Source organism: Homo sapiens, chromosome 11, assembly GCF_000001405.40.
Source record: "Homo sapiens chromosome 11, GRCh38.p14 Primary Assembly".
Classification (NCBI taxonomy): Eukaryota; Metazoa; Chordata; class Mammalia; order Primates; family Hominidae; genus Homo; species Homo sapiens.
In genome coordinates, this window is record NC_000011.10 from 108174406 (window position 1) to 108194064 (window position 19659).

The window sequence follows — 19659 nt, forward strand, 5'->3', positions numbered from 1 at the left end:
CAAAGATGAATGATCCAATCTCTAATCTTGGAGAGGTTAGTCAAGGAACCAACTATAGAACAGAAAGTCATAAGAAAGCATGGTAAAAACTGTAACAGCATAGGAACAAAAGGTACCATGAGAAAAAATTATAAAGGAGGCACTGTATGAGAAGATCTTAAAAAAAAAAAAAAAAAAAGAGTATGATATGAGTAAGGAAAGAGTATTTCCTTTTTTTTTTTTTTTTGAGACAGAGTCTTGCTCTGTCGCCCAGGCTGGAGTGCAGCGGTGCGATTCTCAGCTCACTGCAGCCTCTGCCTCCCGGGTTCATGTGATTCTCCTGCCTCAGCCTCTTGAGTATCTGGGATCACAGGTGCGCGCCAGCCACCACACCTGGCTAGCTTTTGTATTTTTAGTAGAGGCGCGGTTTCACCGTGTTGGCTAGGCTGGTCCTGAACTCCTGACCTCAAGTAATCTGCCCTCCCTGGCCTCCCAAATTGCTGGGATTACAGGCATAAGCCACTGTGCCTGGCCTGGAAAAAGTGTTTCAGAAAACAACAATACAGCATTCACAATTTAGGACAGAAAACATTAACTTGAATCAGTATGAAAAATATTTTTTAAAAACCAGAACATTTATGTCAACTAGCATATACAGCAGTCTCCCATTATCTGTAGTTTTGCTTTCTGTGGTTTCAGTTACCTACAGTCAACCAGCCTAAAAATAGGTGAGTACAGTACAATAAGATATTTTGAGGAAGACTACATTCACATAACTTTTATTACAGTATATTGTTATAACTGTCCCATTTTATTATTAGCTATTGTTAATTTCTTACTGTGCCTAACTTTAAATTAAACTTTACCATAGGTATGCCTGAAAAGGAAAAAACAGTAAATACTATATAGGCTTTGGTACCACCCAATTTCAGGCACCCACTGGGGGGCTTGGAATATATCCCCCATAGATAAGGGGGGACTACTCTAATTCTGTTAAATGTGACACTTGCTGCTGAGTACAGAGCACATCTGAATCCTTATTGTGGGGAAAACAGTAGAAATTGTATAGAGGCCACATAAATTCAGGATAAGTAGTTCCTCAGTGAAGTAGGATGACTTTCTCAGAAAACGGAATTTCAAGTTTCACTTTGTACAGGGAAGAACTTAAGTGAAACACAATCTTCTAGACATAATATATACTGCAAAAAACACAACCCACTATAATTCAGCCTAAGAAGAAATGGAGAATTGGACTTGATTGTTGGCAGAGGAATTAAAGGAGGCACACAGTCTGAGATTCTCCAAGGACAGGATGTGAATGAACACTGGAAGCCATCAGATTTTTTACTGGTGGGAGCAGGTGATAACATTTAAAAACAGGTGCACAAAAAACATGTGCCTTAATAAAAATAAATGTTACAGACTTTTGAGCAACTGAACAACATTAATACTAAATTGTACATGTCAAGAATTGAATTATAAAGGAATGAGGTTGAGTGTGGTGGCTCACACCTGTAATGCTACCTCTGCTTCCCAAAGTGCTGGGAGCATCGTTTGAGGCTGCATGCAGTGAGCTATGATTGTGCCACTGCACTCCAGCCTGGATGACAAGAGGGAGACCTTGTCTCAAAAAACAAACACACACCAACAAAAAAAGCTTATAGTAAAAGAATGAATACTGTAAATTTTCTTTTAATCAAACTACCAAAGATTTATAATTGTTTTTAACAGAGAGAAAAATACAAAAATGACCTATAACAATCTGAACAACTTCTACTTCCAAATTAATATTTTCTGCCTTTGAATTTTGAGACTAATATTAAGATTTGGATTGATGATATTAACAAAATTAAATTCTTACCAGATTCTTCTGTTTCAAAAGAACCTTTAACTGCTAGATTAGTTTCATCTGCTAAGACTATACTGGGATTGGATTCCATAGGTTGACTGGAAATACTTTGTGATATATTTTTATTATTCTTTGTTTTGCCTGTTAAAAAGGGAATATGGAAATAATTAAATGACCAAAACAAAAAATAAACATCAATGAATACAGCTTGTTGGTGATTACGCAAATGTTAAACTTCGATTTAGGGTTTTATGGATGTTTAAAAAATGTTGCTTTTAATATCATTTACAAGTACAAAGATTTTCCCACTAGACAGGTGTTTCTTAAACTTTAGCCCAGTAATTTGCATTTTCTAACGAGTTCTCAGATAATGCTGAGATTGTTGGTTTGGGGGACTATACTTTGAGAACTACTGCACTAAATCATAAGATTGAGGACAATGGCCAATTTTTTGTATTCCCTTTGTACGATTCAATTGTGTTTAACACATTTGTATAGTGGTAGACATCAACACATTCCCTGATGACTGGCAAAAATGCCACAAAAATAAAAAACAAAACTACTCTCCACTTTAACAGCTAAAGTTTCTCAGCTAAAAACAAAACAACAAACACTCCTTTAACATATCCATATAATGTTTGATGAAATGAAAACAAGAACTTTTTTAGATACTCTGGGGAATGTTGATTCACTCTGGTTAAGTTACCAAAGAAATTGTAGAAGCCTTTTTTTTCTGTCTTGAAATAAATAGTCTCCTTACCATAGTCAAAGAGATCAAAGAGTGCCTGAAATGCTGGGTCTGATTCTGTCTGTTCCAATATGTCCTGTATAGCTTCTTCAGACATGTGAATTTCACTCTGCAAGAAAGGAGTGGCGTGAAGGCATGATTCTAACTGAATTTATATATATTTACATATTATATATATATAAGACAGGGTCTCACTCTTTTGCTCAGGCTGGAGTGTAGTGGTACAGTGGTAGAGTCACTGTAGCTCACTATAACCTGAAATTCCTGGGCTCAACTGATGCTCCTGCCTCAGCCTCTTGAGTAGCTGGGACTACAAGTGCACCACTATGCCCAGCTTATTTTATTATTATTATTATTTTTGATAGAGATGGGGTTGCTACCTTGCCCAGGGTAGTCCAGAACTCTTGGGCTCAAGTGATCTTCTTGCCTCAGCCTCCCAGAGCACTGGGATTATAGATGTGGGCCACTGTACTCAGCGTGAATAATATGATTTAATACCAGCAAAATAATTAGCAGACACTCGACTATTTCTGACTTTTTATGTAGTAGCATTCCCCCACTCCAAGAAAATTTCCAATGACATGCTCATTTAAAACAAATTAAAACAAAACTAGATAGGTGTTTCCTAATCCTACTTCTTAGAGGTAAGAACTTTGGTGAATATATTCCTAAACATTAAAATGATATAAAATGAATATACGTATATAAATGGAAATAAAATCATACTATAAAGTTCCCTTTTTTTTTGTTTTGAGACAGGGTGTCACTCTGTCACCCAAGCTGGAGTGGAATGCAGTGGCGCAATCACAGTTCACTGCAGCCTTGACCTCCCGAGCTCAGGTGATCCTCTCACCTCAGCCTTCTGAGTAGCTGAAACTACACATGTGTGCCACCACATCCAGCTAGTTTTTATATTTTTAGTAGAGATGGGGTTTTGCCATGTTGCCCAGGCTGGTCTTGAACTCCTGGGCTCATGCGATCCGCCCACCTCGGCCTCCTAAACTGCTGGGACTACAGGCATGAGTTACTGTGCCTGGCCCATACTATAAAGTTCTATAATCTACTTTCTTTACATTACTCTATTGTAGACTGCTTTATAGGTCCTTCAATATAAATCTATTTTATCCCTTTTATCTGTCTGCTCTGGGTTCTTCATGTAAAATGCTTTCCTTAAATGCTGCCAATCCTTATCTATTCAGCTTTAAAAGTAACATGCCAAAACCTACCTCAAAAGCCCTGTACCAATGGTGGAGGTGAGCTTGTCAACTACAAGCTAAGCTATGGAATTATGTTGTAGAACCATTTGTATTTTTAGTTCTTTTGAGTTAGATTTCTTGCTGGGAGGGCTCATGACTGACAACAGTGTTTCTGGGGGAGTATGAGAAATAGGGAGTAGATACAGTTTAACTCCTTCCTTAATTTTGCACCTTATTATTATTTTTGTGTGTGTGTGTGTGTTCATGAATTTCAAGATTTAATATTGCTAAGATTCCCATACTATTTAAAACCTATAGATTAAATGCAATCCCTATCAAAATTTCAATAGCATTTTATAGAAACAGGAAAAACTACCTTAAAATTCCTATGGAATCTGGGCCCAGTGCAGTGGCTCACATCTGTAATCCCAGCACTTTGGGAGGCCAAGGCAGGTGGATCACTTGAGGTCAGGAGTTCGAGACCCGCCTGGCCAACATGGTGAAACCCCACCTCTACTAAAAATACAAAAATTAGCTGGGTGTGGTGGCGCATGCCTGTAATCCCAGCTACTTGGGAGGCTAAGGCAGGGGAATCACTTAAACCTGGGAGGCTAAGGTTGCAATGAACCAAGATGGTGCCAGTGCACTCCAGCCTGGGCAACTGTGAGTTGAGTGAGACTATCTCAAAAAAACAAAAACAAAATTCCTATGGAATCTCAGAGAAAAGCAAAATAGCCAAAACAATCTTGAAACAGAAGAACAAATTTGGAGATCTCACAGTTTCTGATTTCAAAACTAATTATAAATTGATAGTAACCAACACGGTATGGTACTGGCATAAAGGCAAACATGTAGACCAATAAAACAGAATACAGAGATCAGAAATAAACTCAGGAAAATGTAGTCGAATGGTCTTCAACAAGAGGACCAAGATCATACAATGCAGAAAGGACAGTGTCTTCAAGATATAGAGTTGGGAAAATTGAATACTTACATGCGAAATAATGAAGTTGGATCCTTACCTTACACCATATATGAAAATTTACATTTAAATATTCCATTCATTTTGAGCTAATTTTCATCTTATAAATTTCATATTATACTTTTTTTTTGATGGAGTGTTCTCGTTGCCCAGGCTAGAGTGCAATGGCGCAATCTCATCTCACCACAACCTCCACTTCCCAGGTTCATGTGAATCTCCTGCCTCAGCCTCCCAAGTAGCTGGGATTAAAGACATGTGACACCACACCCAGCTAATTTTGGTCTCAAACTGGCTAGTCTCGAACCCCTGACCTCAAGTGACCCTCCCGCTTCAGCCTCCCAAAGTGCTGGGATTACAGGCGTGAGCCACCACGCCCGGACTCATATTATACTTTGAAGCCTTACATTTAAATCTTCCATTTATTATGAGTTAGACCTAAAAGTATAAAATCATAAGGAAGGGTGGCTTATCCTCGTTTGAAAAGGGGAAAAAAGAAATCATAAGGGAGGCCAGGCATGGTGGTTCACACCAATAATCCCAACATTTTGGGAGGCCAAGGCAGGAGGATGGCTTGAGTCCAGGAGTTCAAGACCAGCCTGGGCAACATAGGGAGACCTCACCTCTATAAATAGAAATAAATAAATAAAATAAAATAAAAAGAAATCATAAGGGAAAAGCTTCATGAGGTTAAACAGCCCATGATTTCTTGGATTGACACTAAAAGCTCAAGCAACAAAAGCAAAAATAGACAAATAGGACTACATCCAATGTTAAAACCTATGCGGATCAAAGAACACAAAGTGAAAGGCAAGCTATGGGATGGGAGAAAATGTTTGCAAATTCTATCTGATAAGGGGTTAATATCAAGAATATATAAAGAATTCCAACTGGGCACCGAGGCTCACACCTATAGTCCTAGCACTTTGAGAGGCTGAAGTGGGGAGATCACTTGAGCCCAGGAGTTCTAGATCAGCCTGGCCAACATGACAAAACCCTGTCTCTGTGAAAAATACAAAAATTAGCCAGGCATGGTGACACACACCTGTAGTCCCTGCTACTTGGGAAGCTGAGGTGGGAGGGTCACCTGAGCTCAAAGAGGTTCAGGCTGCAGTGAGCCAAGATTGCACCACATCACTCCAGCCTGGGCATGCAGCGAGACCCTGTCTCAAAAAATAATGTAAGTCACATAATATATAAGAATTCCTATAACTCAACAACAAAAAACCTGATTGAACAATGAACAAATAACTTAAACAGACATTTATCCAAAAAAGGCATACATGTGAAACGATGCTTAACATCACTAATCATTAGAGAATTGCAAATCAAAAGCACAGTGAGATATCACCTGACACCCATGAGGATGGCCACTATCAAAGCAACAAAAAATGACACGTGTTGATGAGGATGTAGATAAGTGAGAATTCTTGTACACTGTTGGTGGGAATGTAAAATGGTACAGCTGCTATGAGAAACATTAGAAAGCTTCCTCAAACAATGAAAAATAGAATTACCAGGTCCAGCAATCCCACTTCTGGGTATATGCCAATAGAATTAAAAGTAGGATCTCAAAGACGTATTTGTACACCCATGTTCATTGCAGCATTATTCATGATAGCCAAGAGAAGCAACCTAAATGTCCATTGATACATGAATGGATAAACAAAATGTGGCATATACATTAAATGGAATATTATTCAGCCTTTAACAAAGGAAATCCCATCACAGGCCATGTAGAACCTTGAGGATATTATACCAAGTGAAATAAGCCAGTTACATAAAGTAAATGCTGTATGATTCTACTTATGTGAGGTATGTAAAGCAATCAAACTCATCAAAACAGAAAGTAGAATGGTGGTTGGCAGGGGATAGGAAAAGGGGAAATCAGGAGTTGTAAATAAGAGCTTTACAGATCAAATTGTGTCCCTCCCAAATTCACGTGTTGAAGTCCCAACCTCAACAGGACTGTATTTGCAGATAAGACCTTTAAAGAAGTAACTATGATTAAATGAGCCTATAACTGGCTGGGTGTGGTGGCTCACACCTGTAATCCCAGCACTTTGGGAGGCCGAGGCGGGCAGATCACCCGAGGTCAGGAGTTCGAGACCAGCCTGGCCGACATGGCAAAACCCTGTCTCTACTGAAAACACAAAAAATCAGTGAGGCGTGGTGGCACATGCCTGTTGTCCCAGCCACTTGGGAGGCTGAAGCAGGAGAATCGCTTGAACCTGGGAGGCAGAGATTGCAGCAAGCTGAGATCACACCACTGCATTCCAGCCAGGGTGACAGAGCGAGACTCTGTCTCAAAAAAAACAAAAACAAAAAAAACTTACAGCTATCTATTGCACAACAATGTGAATATAATTAACATTACCAAACTGTACACTTAGTAATTGTCAAGATCGTAAATTATATATTTTATTTTTACAATTAAAAATTAAAAAATAAACACTCCCCTTTGGGCTTCAAAATGGTAGGCACTTCTTTCACCAGTACCACAATGTGCTTGTTGTTCATTTTCCTTTATATCACACTAATTTTGCATCCAAGGAAAGGAGGCCTGCATCGAGGTCATAATAAAAAAAAAAAAAATCCTCCTCCTAAATCTAAAGCCTTGGTGAGCTTCCCAGCATGTGAAGCAAAATCTGAAAATCTTCACTAAGAGGTTATTCAGGTCATGGACTGTCATCTGCTTAGAAAGACGGTATCTTTTCCTGAGAATCTGTGGCAGACAGAAGTTAACCTAAAAAGCTTGAAGTTTATCCATAGTGCTGTCATGGTCAGTCAAGTAGTGTGATGGCTTTTCAAGGGGTGGGGCCTGTGCTGCCACCTGTGTCTCAGTTTGTCCAGGATATGCAGGTCCTTTTACAAGGTTCCCATCAGCAATAAGAGACTGGAGACACTCATTCCAGCATTGCATAGAGAGAGCTGTGTCTTGCTGACCCAGACCCTGCCATTGCTGTTTAGGGTCACCAGGCTGAGGCTGAGCCAGATTCTTAAAGGGCAGCACTACCAGGCCAGTGTGCTTTTTCCCCTTGTCACCTTGGCATCTTCCTTGGTATGGGGGTCAGAAAGGAGTCTGCATATGTGACAGCCCCACTCATAGAATTGGTACTATTGACACAGGACTTCTAAGTGTCAAAGAAGAGTGAGAGCTCTCTCCCTGCACACCCTGGGTAGGCTGAAGCATCATGACCCCTGGAATTTTACACCTTATTATCCTGTTTGTAGCCTCAGCTTTCAGAGGGACTTTCAGACGTCCTGGTGCTACTTCTCGAGCCTTTTGGGATTTCTGTGTTACAAAATTCCCTATACTGTCTTAAAAACTGTTATTTAAATCTTTTCTTTTTAGTTCTGAAACGGAGTCTCACTCTGTCGCCTACGCTGGAGTGCAGTGGCGCGATCTCGCCTCACTGCAAACTCCGCCTCCCGGGTTCAAGCGATTCTCTTGCCTCAGCCTTCTGTGTAGCTGGGATTATAGGTGCATGCCACCACACCTACCTAATTTTTGGTAGAGATGGGGTTTCGCCATGTGGGCAAGGCTGGTCTCCAACCCCTGAACTCAGGTGATCCACCTGCCTCAGCCTCCCAAACTGCTGGGATTACAGGCGTGAGCCACCACACCCAGCTAAATCTTAATTCTTAACTTTCTACGAATACAGTATTATGAACAACCAAGAACAGTAGGTTGTGTCTTTACTTTCTTACAATCCTTCACAGTGTTTAACAGAGTACCCTGATTATGGTAAGCACCTGATGTATTTATAAAGAAACAATAAGCAAAAAGTTGGAGAACACAAAAACTTAGAACAGAGCATACATATTTGTTTTTTGGTTTTGAAACAGTGTCTTGCTCTGTTGTCCAGGCTGGAGTATAGTGGTGAAATCAGAGCTCACAGCAGCCTTGAGCACCCAGGCTCAAGTGATCCTCCCATTTCAGCCTCCCGAGTAGTTGGGACAACAGGTACATGCAATAACACCTGGCTAATTAAAAAAAAAATTTTTTTTGTATAGATGAGGTCTCATTATGTTGTCCAGGCTGGTCTTGAACCTCTGGGCTCAAGCAGTCCTCCTGCCTTGGCCTCTCAAAGTGCTGGGATTAAAGGTATGAGCCACTGTGCCTGGCCCATATTTATTAAGTGGTAAGATAAGAGAGGTTTTTGAAAGAAGTACTGGTAGAACTGACATAGAGAAAAACAATTCAAGGGCTCAATGGCTTTACTCAGAATTCAATTGAAAGAAAACCTGCTCTAATACACTCACATGGGCATGCCAATAAAAATATTTCTATTGTCCAATGGTCCAAGTAAAAAGATGTCCTAAAATCACAATTGCAGCTGCTCTTCAAAAAGGGTACTTGGGTCAGGTGAGATAGCTCATGCCTGTAATCCCAGCACTTTGGGAGGCCGAGTTAGGCAGATCACTTGAGGCCAGGAGTTCAAGACCATCCTGGCCAACATGGTGAAACCTAGTCTCTACTAAAAATACAAAAATTAGCCAGGCGTGGAGGTGCATGCCTATAATCCCAGCTACTTGGGAAGCTGAGGCAGGAGAATCGTTTGAACTCAGGAGTTGCAGTGAGCCAAGATCGTGCCACTGCACTCCAGCCTGGGTGACACAGCGAGACACCACCTCAAAAAACAAAACCAAACAAAAACCAAAAATTAGCTGAGCATGGTGGCATGTGCCTGTAGTCCCAGCTACTCAGAAGGCTGAGATGGGAGTATCACTTGAGCTGGGGGAGATCAAGGCTGCTGTGAGCCGTGATTGAGCCACTGCACTCAAGCCCGGGCAACAAAGTGAGACCCTGTCTCAAAAAAAAAAAGTAAATTAAAGGATAGTTGCACATGAACAAATCTTAAAACATAGACTGTTATATTCCTCCCTTACTAGCTCACTCTCTTTTGTATTTACTACCAATAGCAACAGTGACCATTGTCCCCATCTTTCTTCTCTTAGTATTAAGCCTCACAGGCAAGTTGTCATTTGGTTAGCAATCTTTCTTTTTAAAAAGGTCTTGCTCATTTTATTGGCCGGGCACGGTGGCTCACACCTGTAATCGAGCACTTTGGGAAGCCGAGGCGGGCAGATAACGAGGTCAGGAGAGGGAGACCATCCTGGCTAACATGGTGAAACCCCGTCTCTACTAAAAATACAAAAAAATTAGCCGGGCATGGTGGTGGGCGCCTGTAGTCCCAGCTACTCAGGAGGCTGAGGCAGAAGAATGGCATGAACCTGGGAGGCAGAGCTTGCAGTGACCTGACATTGTGCCACTGCACTCCAGCCTGGGCGACAAAGTGAGACTCCATCTCAAAAAAAAAAAAAGTCTTGTTCATTTTATTTTGTTAACTATTACTTGGATTCATTACATATTTTTTCTTATTTTTTTGAGACAGGGTCTTGCTCTGTCACCCAGGCTGGAGAGCAGTGGTGCGATCCCCGCTTACTGCAACCTCCGCCCTCCCAGATTCAAGGATTCTCCTGCTTCAGCCACCCGAGCTGCTGGGATAACAAGCATGTGTCATGATGCCCATATAATTTTTGTATTTTTGGTAGAGATGGGATTTCACCATGTTGGCCAAGCTGGTCTCGAATTCCTGGCCTTAAGTGATCTGCCCTCCTTGGCCTGCCAAAGTGCTGGGATTACAGGCATTGAGCCACCATGCCTGGCCCCATTACATATCTTTATTGTATCATTTCATTGTTTCTCTAAATTATTATACAATTTGTAGCAGTGTAGAAGAAATGTAATTTATATAAACACTGTATTACTGTTTATTACACACAAATATACCCACTAATAAATGTTTAAGTATTGAATACTTAGGAATCCATGACTGTGGATGCAATATAGATTCTATTTTAAGTCATCATCCAATGTGTTTTTCAGGAACAGACTGCATTCAATGAATGAAGAAAAGTTTTATCTTACTATTGTAAATCATTTTATCTAATTAGATGGCAAATCATAACATCTTATGTTGGCAATGGTTTTGAAATGAAACCAAAATTACCATCAATCTTAAGTATAAGTAACACACACGCACCCATGCACACCCCAACCACCCATACCGGAAGTCCTAGGAATTCATCAATTGAAGTCTCTGGCTCCGTAGGGTTGTTATCTGTTTGCTTAGGTACTTGGGCAATATTGTTATCACTGTTAATAAAGAAAGAAAAATCTTTATTATAGTTATGCAATTAGGCAAAAACAATTAGGCATTTTAAACATATATAGCTTACCTAGTTAAAAATTTATTTATGTTTTCTGCTAGCTTTTCTTGAAGAGATTTGTTGCTTAGTATTTTTTCTCGTGCATTTTCAATAACCATTTGCTGGAAAAGAAAGCCACTGTTAGCAAAAGGACAATAAAGAGTATTCTGCTATTTAATATTTATAAGAAAAGAACAAACCGATAAGAGCTGGATAGTTTTAATAAACCTAAATGGAAACTCAGAAGTTGTGATGGCTCCCTCCATATTAATACCTGAATACAACACTTCATAATTTGCAAATGTTTTCACAGATCTTTCACCAACTCTTTCTTATACAGTTCCACACTCATCATCAAACCCCAGTAAATGCCCTATTTTTACAGTGTCGCTCTATAGCCCAGCCTGGAGTACAGTGGCACAATCTCAGTTCACTGCAACCTCCACCTCGCAGTTCAAGCAATTCTTGTGCCTTAGCCTCCTGAATAGTAGCTGGGATTACGGGCGTGTGCCATCACACCCAGCTAATTTTTGTATTTTTAGTAGAGACAGTTGTCCAGGCTGGTCTTGAATTCCTGGCCTCAAGAGATCCGCTGGCTTTGGCCTCTCAAAGTGCTGGGATTACAGGTACAAGCCACTACTCGCCGGCCAGTTTTTTTTTTTGAGACAGGGTCTGACTCTGTCACCCAGGCTTGAGTGTAGTGGTATGATCATGGCTCACTGCAGCCTTGACCTCCCAGGCTCAAGCAGTCCTCCCATCTCAGCCTCCCAAGCAGCTAGGACTACAGGCACGTGCTACCACACCTAGCTAATATTTGTATTTTTTGTAGAGAGGGGGTTTTACCATGTTGCCCAGGTTGGTCTTGAATTCCTGAGCTCAAGCAATCTGCCCACCTCAGCTTCCCAAAGTGCTGGGATTACAGGTGTTTGCCATAGCACCTGGCCAGTATTTTATTAAATGATCCAACAACAACAATGTATTTACAGATATCTATAAACTTACTCCTGTTTCTTTATTTGATACATACACACATACATACATTTGTGTATATATCTGTATTTTTAAACTCAGGAATATTTTAAGTTGCAAAGTTTGGCAGAGTCACTTACTTTTTCTACTGCAAAAGCGTTTGGATCTTGGAAATTCCGTATTGTTGAATGAGGGCCAGACAAAGTGGTACTTTTTCTCTGAGATTCACTGAAACACATTTTAAAAGCTTTTCTTTTAACCACTATATTTAACAGATTTAAAGATAAATACATATACAGACATAAATTTTAAGATCACCATAACAGAACAGATACAGTTGTCCCTGTATCTGCAGGGGGCTGGTTTCAGGACCCCCAAGGATATCAAAATCCACATGTACTCAAGTCCTACAGTCTGCACTAGGAAGCCCATGTATTCAAAAAGTCAGCACACTGCATATAGGCAGGTTTTACTACTAAATTTTTAATCTGTGTTCGGTTGAAAAAAACTTGAGTATAAATGAACCCATGCAGTTGAAACCCATGTTATTCAAGGTCAACTATATTTTCTCTATTTGTGTTAGGAACAAAGGGAAGTACAAAAAGTATTAGTAGTCTTGAATTCAAAAAAATGAGTTTGAAGTCTAGCTTTACCACTTACTACCTATGGTCTGAAGCACAGCAAGCTCTGACTCTCTAACCTACTTTATAATGACCAACTGCATTATTGGGTTTACTAAAGAATGGAATGAAATAAAGTATATATAAAGACTTTATTTAAAAAGTCAGGGTTCCTATAAATGTTAAATATTAATGTTGCTCTTTTATGGCTGGGCATGGTGGCTCACATCTGTAATCCCAGCAATTTTGGAGGCCAAGGTGGGAAGATCACTTGAAGCCAGGAGTTTCAGACCAGCCTGGGCAACAAAGTGAGACCCCCATCTCTACAAAAAATAAAAAAATTAGCTGGGTGTGGCGGCATGTGCCTGTGCTGCTGGCTACTGGGGAGGCTAAGGTGGGAGGATCTTCTGAGCCCACAAGTTCGAGGCTGCAGTGAGTTATGATTGTACCACTATACTCTAACCTGGTCAAGACAGCAAGGCCCTATCTCTAAAAATAAAAAAATGGATATTGCTGTTTGTTATTTTATATGGTGAAGTGAGAAAGGCTCCAATAAAGGAGGCTAACTAAGGTCAGTCTTGAATGAAAGACAACCAAAAGTAAAAACTCTAACAAAAATACCCAGGGCTTGGGAGCTAAGAAACTAGAATAAACATTTTAAAACTATTATCTCTTTCAAAAAATATCCTTCAAACAAAGACACACTTTTCTCAAAAGTGTTTTGGGAAAAACACTTTTCTCAAAGATTGTGCCTGGAAAAATTCCATCAATTGATCTTAGGACTTTAAATGTGTGTGGAGCATAGAACATAACTGTATTATTTACATTCAGTTAAAAAACATGGATTGCAAAAAATCTCAGATAACATCATTTGTAAGATATACCATTATTTTATATACCATTACAGAATAAACATATTTCCCATGAAACAGTGATATGCCATTAATTGAGAGATGCAACCCAATTTCAGGCAGGTTAAAATGTGAAGAAAGACAATGTATTTTGGAATAGTTCTAATATAGATCAGAACATAATCTGGTCCTATTAGTTTATTCACAATGTAAGTATCCTGATGTAATTCTTTTTTTTTTTTTTTAATGGATACGGGTAACTTGTCTCTTTTAAAAAGCATTTACCTTTTGCGTCTACCGGGAGACATTAAACTGGCATGTGCTTTCTTTTCCTGAGCACCAGGAATGACATTTAAAGCTTCTCCAGCTGTATTTCAAGAAAACATAACAGTAAGCCAAAGAAACTGAATAGTTTTCTAAACTTGTAATGGGATAAAAAGCATTAGTGATTATTATTTTATATTAAATTCAATTAACATGTACTGAGTGCCTACCATGTGTAAAGCATGGTAAAAGACACTAAGATTAATAAAATACAGTCTTTATGCCTTAAGGTTTTACAATAAAATCCAAAGTACAATATAGTCTCAACAAAAAATAATACAGTAGAATGGAAAAAGTCTAAGAAGTATAAACTAAGCATTCTGGGTGTAGAAAAGGATTTGGAAAAGGTGAAAATGAGGGAGATCTTGATGGCAACAAATTTTAGCTGCACAGAAAGATAATTGGTTTGTGAACTGAGAGTGCTAACTCCTGAATTCTAATCCCAACTCTGTTATTAACTAGCTTCTTATCCCTTAACTACCATGTGTTTTCAGAAGTTTCAAGTATGCAACAAATAAGATATACCACACACTCTCTAAGGATATTCCTAACTCTAAGGTTCAGCCAGGCATATGTAGGATTTCTAACATGTAAAGATAGAGAAGTAGAAAGGCATTCCTCATTCCAGGAGGACAGACTGACATCAACAAAGGCAAGGAAGTAGAAAATATAATGTACATTCCATTTAAAATCAAATACAACAGCTTCTTTTTCTCTTAATGCCAAAAATTGAGAATTAGAGAGTTGAAGACTTCAATTAGCGTAGAAATAGGAAGAACCCTAGATTAAAATGCCTTAAAGATTTTATATGCTTATAGCAAATCTAGAAGTCTGTTCCACTTTTAGTCTCTCTCATCTTTTATGGGGGGGGCCATAATTTTACACTATGAGTATAAAGACATTAGTATATTATCTCATTCATACAATTTGATTAACAACAAAATTTAAGAGAACAAAATGTAAACTTACTGGTTACAGTATCTTGTGACTGTGAGTGGTTGACCACTACAAAATATGACCTCGATGGATCTGAAATTTGGCCACTTGGTCGAGTAACCTGTGTACCTGTGGAAGGAGGAGTGGTAAACTGTCCTGAAAGGTAAGGTAAAGTGAGCAACTCTGCACTGGCTGGAGCTGTTTGAGATGCAAGCTTTCTCTGCCGTTTGATTTCTGCAATTCCAGTTCTCGTTCGGGCTGAAACATATAAGCATTTAAAAAACAAATTCAACGTCAGGGTAGTTTGGGAATTGTAAGAAGTCAATATGATGCAACCTATTATATAACAACGTGTTACATCCACAGATTGAAGAATGATTCCTAAATATATCAACTAAATTTATGCGACTTTCAGAAGAAACTAAAATGAATACAATCAAGCTTTATAAATCCAAGATTATATTTGTTCTGCAGTAATTAATATTGATAACACCATGAATTAAGAAACCTGAACTTGGCCGGGCGCGGTGGCTCACGCCTGTAATCCCAGCACTTTGGGAGGCCGAGGCGGGCGGATCACGAGGTCAGGAGATCGAGACCATCCTGGCTAACACGGTGAAACCCCGTCTCTACTAAAAATACAAAAAATTAGCCGGGCGTGGTAGCGGGCGCCTGTAGTCCCAGCTACTCGGGAGGCTGAGGCAGGAGAATGGCGTGAACCCGGGAGGCGGAGCTTGCAGTGAGCCGAGATCGCGCCACTGCACTCCAGCCTGGGCGACAGAGCGAGACTCCGTCTCAAAAAAAAAAAAAAACAAAAAACAAGAAACCTGAACTTATGAAATGAGAATTAAAACATTCTACATGAGTCAATGTGAAATGTAGGGAGTATTTACAAAATATTTTAATGATAAATGAAAATATTAATTAACATAACTGTACTTAGAAAAACGGTAGTTTGGCCAGGTGCGGTGGCTCACGCCTGTAATCCCAGCACTTTGGGAGGCTGAGGCAGGCGGACCATGGGGTCAGGAGATTGAGACCATTCTGGCTAACATGGCAAAACCCCATCTCTACTAAAAATACAAAAAAAATTAGCTGGGTGTGGTGGCACACGCCTGTAGTCCCAGCTACTTGGGAGTCTGAGGCAGGAGAATCGCTTGAACCCGGGAGGTGGAGGTTGCAGTGAGCTGAGATCGTGCCACTGCACTTCAGCCTGGGCGACAGAGCGAGACACTGTCTCAAAAAAAAAAAAAAAAAAAAAAAAAGAAAGAAAAACAGTAGTTTAAGGAAAATATATACTTAGCACATGTGTACAATGAATTAAAATGTTCATCTGATAGTTTAAGTTTGAAGTAATTGTGAACATTGTTTAAAGTTGGATACCAACCTCTCTGACTGCCAGCAAACCTTGGGGAACTTTGCATGCTCCTAACAAAGAAAACAAAGTAGTTATCCATCAAAAAATGTTTGTTGCTGACATCCACTATGATTTAGTTACAGTCAGACCTCAAGTTAGTTATGAGGTAAAAGGCAAAAAATCTCTCTCAGACAAAAAAGACAAACACACACATTTTTTGGGCAAGCAACTGTGATTTGCTTTAGGAGAAAAATAGTGGCATGTAGACACACTCACAACACACATAATTTTCATTAAGAAGTTTCTATCCAATGTAATAATGCATTAGAGTGCCTTGACATTACGTTAAGAATGCAATCTGGGCTGGGTATGGTGGTTCATGCCTGCAATCCCAGCACCCTGGGGGGCTGAGGTGAGAGGATCACTTGAGGCCGAGAGTTCATGAACAGCCTGAGCAACATAGCAAGACTCTGTCTCTATAAAATGAAATAAAAATTAGCCAGGTGGCATGTGCCAGTAGTCCTAGGTACTTGGGAGGCTGAGGTGGGAGAAACTTTTGAGCTCAGGCGTTCAAGGCTACAAGAGCTATGATCACACCACCGCATTCCAGCTTGGGTAACAGAGTGAGACCCTACCTCTTAAAAAAATGAACAGAAGATAATTTAACTTTAGAAACTCTACATATTAACATTTTTGAGTAAGAATATACAAAGTATACATTTTTTATTATCTTTCACAATTATAGAGATGCCTTCCCACAGAGAAATTCTGATTTCACATGACTCCATATATAAATACTTCAGAATCCCCAAGTTGATGTCAGAGGACATCCAGCTTTTATAAAATTTATGACTATGAAATTATTTTATTGTACCTCTAAAGAAGATGCCAACAAACATGGAAAAATTCACAGTACAAGTTAATTCTTTTAGTATGAATTAGAGTGGCCCACCCCTTTATTCGATAAAGTCACAGACACGGTGCCATTATCATAAAAAATATGTCAAGTAAGTCTCCAACAAGATCCACAAAACTCGAGTCAGGAAAGAGAAATATAAAGATAAGACTACCAAGTAAGATGTGGTCCAGAGTTAAGAAGAAAGCATTTGGAGCCATTTTAGCAGGTTAAGCAGAGGAAGAAAATGAAACCCATGCTGAAGTTAGGTGGGGTAGTCACTTATAGCTCTGAAAGAAAGGTTAAGAGACTATGGTTTTCATAACAAATTCTATAGTCAAATATGAGATTTTCATAAAATTGATAACAGAAGATTTCAGAATTAGCATTATTCTTCAAGCTTTTTTCTTTACAAGTTAAGAAACCAAGTGGGCATGGGTTCAACGCATCAATTCTGTGAATATGTAATAAAGAGACAGTTGCCTAAGGGAATTCACAGTGGCCTGGGATTAGGTGATTTGTATTCTAACAATATATCTGCCTTTAAATTGCTATGGAAACTTGGAAATGTCATTAAACTACTACATATCTTAGTTTTCTAAATATTTTATTAAAAGTATGCTATTTATTTCAAATTATGTCAGTCAGTAACCTCCACAGTACCAGCAACCTCTAGAGTAATTTCAAAACTGGATGAGTGTTATATAAGTACACTGTGTAGGTCTTAAGAAGATTTAAACCCAAAGTGTATTTGCATTCCAAAATCATTAGGCACATTCTAATAGCTTATTACCTGATCTGAGAAAGTGTATGGTCCAATTTCTTCCATAGAGATGACATTATTGCTGGGACATTATTTGATGTTTCTAAATCATAGGAGAAAAGGTTCTTAATAAACCCAGCTGAAGAAATTTCATCATTCATTCTGAACAAAGACACACAAAAAACCTTGTCTCTCAATTATTGACAGTATGTTGGAAAATGAGAAATAAATCTATGTTGTAAAATAGCTTGCAAAGCTATAATGCGGTTGCTTTCTCTTCTAAAGCCACTGAGTATCAGATACAATATGAGTAGAAATGGACATCTGTAAAATCTCTGAAGCATTTTTTGGCCAATAATTTTACACCTTCATTTTATTAAAAAAAGGAGAAACAATTTTTTGATCTTTGTTCTATCTGATATCATGTGACATATGAAAGTGAATTAAAGTAATCTGTCTTATAATAATTATCATAAAGGTTATGCAAATTCCTTATAAGTGTGGAAATTTAATCCTCAATTTTCTCATATTTAAAAATGGCTTTAAACAATCTCTCTCACTGGGTTATTCTAAAGACTAAATGAGAGGCCGGGCATGGTGGCTCACGCCTGTAATCCCAGCACTTTGGGAGGCTGAGGTGGGCAGATCATGAGGTCAGGAGTTTGAGACCAACCTGGCCAACATAGTGAAACCCTGTCTCTACTAAAAACACAAATATTAGCTGGGCATGGTGGCGTGCGCCTATAGTCCCAGCTACTCGGGAGACTGAGACAGGAGAACTGCTTGAACCCGGGAGACGGAGGTTGCGGTGAGCCGAGATCGCGCCATTGCACTCCAGCCTGGGCAACAGAGCGAGACTCCCGTCTCAAAAAAAAAACAAACAAAGAAAAGACTAAATGAGAAAAAAAACATATGAAAGCACGTAGCACAATGCTTATACACAGACAATGTCAAAAAATGTCAAGCTTCTTTTCCTTTGTTATCATCTTATGCGAATTCTTTAGTGCTAATTGTTTTGTTAATGTTGTAAGCTATTGAAAATAATCAATATTAGAGAATAAGCAGTCAAAACTTTCCCTCTAAAACATCCTTAATTTAGGCAAGTAGAATTTTATATTCTAGTAACTATAAGCCAGTGTATGACTGGCTTCTGTGTTCAGACTTAGACTACATAGAATTAAAATTAAAATGTCAGTTTAAAACTTTTTAACACATAGTGATGTCTGTTTATCAGTGTAGATAACACAGAGGTAAGAGTTTTATTTTACATATTTTTTAAAGGTAGTTTTTGGGTTATTTTTGCTAACATAAAGATTGTTGCAATTTATGTACCACTCAATGTAAACACAAACAAATGGCTGGGGGCAGTGGCTCACACCTGTAATCCCAGCACTTTGGGAGGCCGAGGTGGGTGGATCACCTGAGGTCGGGAGTTCGAGACCAGCCTGACCAACATGGAGAAACCCTGGCTCTACTAAAAATACAAAATTAGCCGGGCATGGTGGCGCATGCCTGTATTCTCAGCTACTTGGGAGGCTGACTGAGGAGAATCGCTTGAATCCAGGAGCTGGAGGTTGCAGTGAGCTGAGATTACGCCACTGCACTCCAGCCTGGGCAACAAGATTGAAACTCCGTCTCAAAAAAAACCAAAAAAACAAAAAACAACAACCAAAAAAACAAAACAAAACAAAAAACCAAAACCCACAAACAAATTAGATGTGTCCCAGAAAAATTTATCTCATTACAACAGGGACAAGTTTTTTCAAGGCTTTTATGAGACATTAATAACCTTTAGAAATCATTTTTAACTAAATCAAGTAGATAAATATTGTATACATCAGCAAAAAAACTCCAAATCAGAACTCTTACCTTTTGTTTTCATAGCTACATACTCATTTAAAATTGTTGTCAAGTTTTTTCCAAATAAGGACTGAAAAGAAAAAGATCAAATATTACCAAAATTGTATAATACTACCA

The 19659-nt window shown here is 39.0% G+C and overlaps 1 protein-coding gene across 3 annotated transcripts in view, besides 3 other annotated features; it reads right to left on the bottom strand.

Annotated features, from left to right (window-relative positions):
* NPAT (nuclear protein, coactivator of histone transcription) overlaps positions 1–19659 on the bottom strand; it is a 65424-nt gene that overhangs the window by 17191 nt on the left and 28574 nt on the right. For all 3 annotated transcript variants that reach the window (NM_002519.3, NM_001321307.1, XM_011542854.3), the window contains exons 3-12: positions 19552–19612; positions 17713–17785; positions 16055–16095; positions 14701–14925; positions 13693–13774; positions 12077–12164; positions 10998–11089; positions 10827–10914; positions 2589–2685; positions 1841–1969 (exon numbers count right to left, since the gene is read on the bottom strand). In NM_002519.3, the coding sequence (NP_002510.2) occupies positions 1841–1969; positions 2589–2685; positions 10827–10914; positions 10998–11089; positions 12077–12164; positions 13693–13774; positions 14701–14925; positions 16055–16095; positions 17713–17785; positions 19552–19612 (976 nt within the window). The remainder of the gene's footprint in view (positions 1–1840; positions 1970–2588; positions 2686–10826; positions 10915–10997; positions 11090–12076; positions 12165–13692; positions 13775–14700; positions 14926–16054; positions 16096–17712; positions 17786–19551; positions 19613–19659) is intronic.
* Positions 655–734: a silencer, noted in NCBI's record as "silent region_3877". NCBI's record gives its function as "represses an Ori minimal core promoter by ATAC-STARR-seq in GM12878 lymphoblastoid cells {active_cell/tissue: GM12878}" and the evidence as "EXISTENCE:reporter gene assay evidence [ECO:0000049][PMID:35858748]".
* Positions 2778–2922: an enhancer, noted in NCBI's record as "145 bp 11:108047982 sequence used in MPRA reporter constructs". NCBI's record gives its function as "activates a minimal TATA-containing promoter with rs1519074 allelic activity by MPRAs in C283T melanocytes {active_cell/tissue: C283T}" and the evidence as "EXISTENCE:reporter gene assay evidence [ECO:0000049][PMID:36423637]".
* Position 2850: a transcriptional cis regulatory region, noted in NCBI's record as "rs1519074 or 11:108047982 MPRA-significant variant associated with a GWAS melanoma risk locus at 11q22.3". NCBI's record gives its function as "allelic transcriptional activity by MPRAs in C283T melanocytes {active_cell/tissue: C283T}" and the evidence as "EXISTENCE:reporter gene assay evidence [ECO:0000049][PMID:36423637]".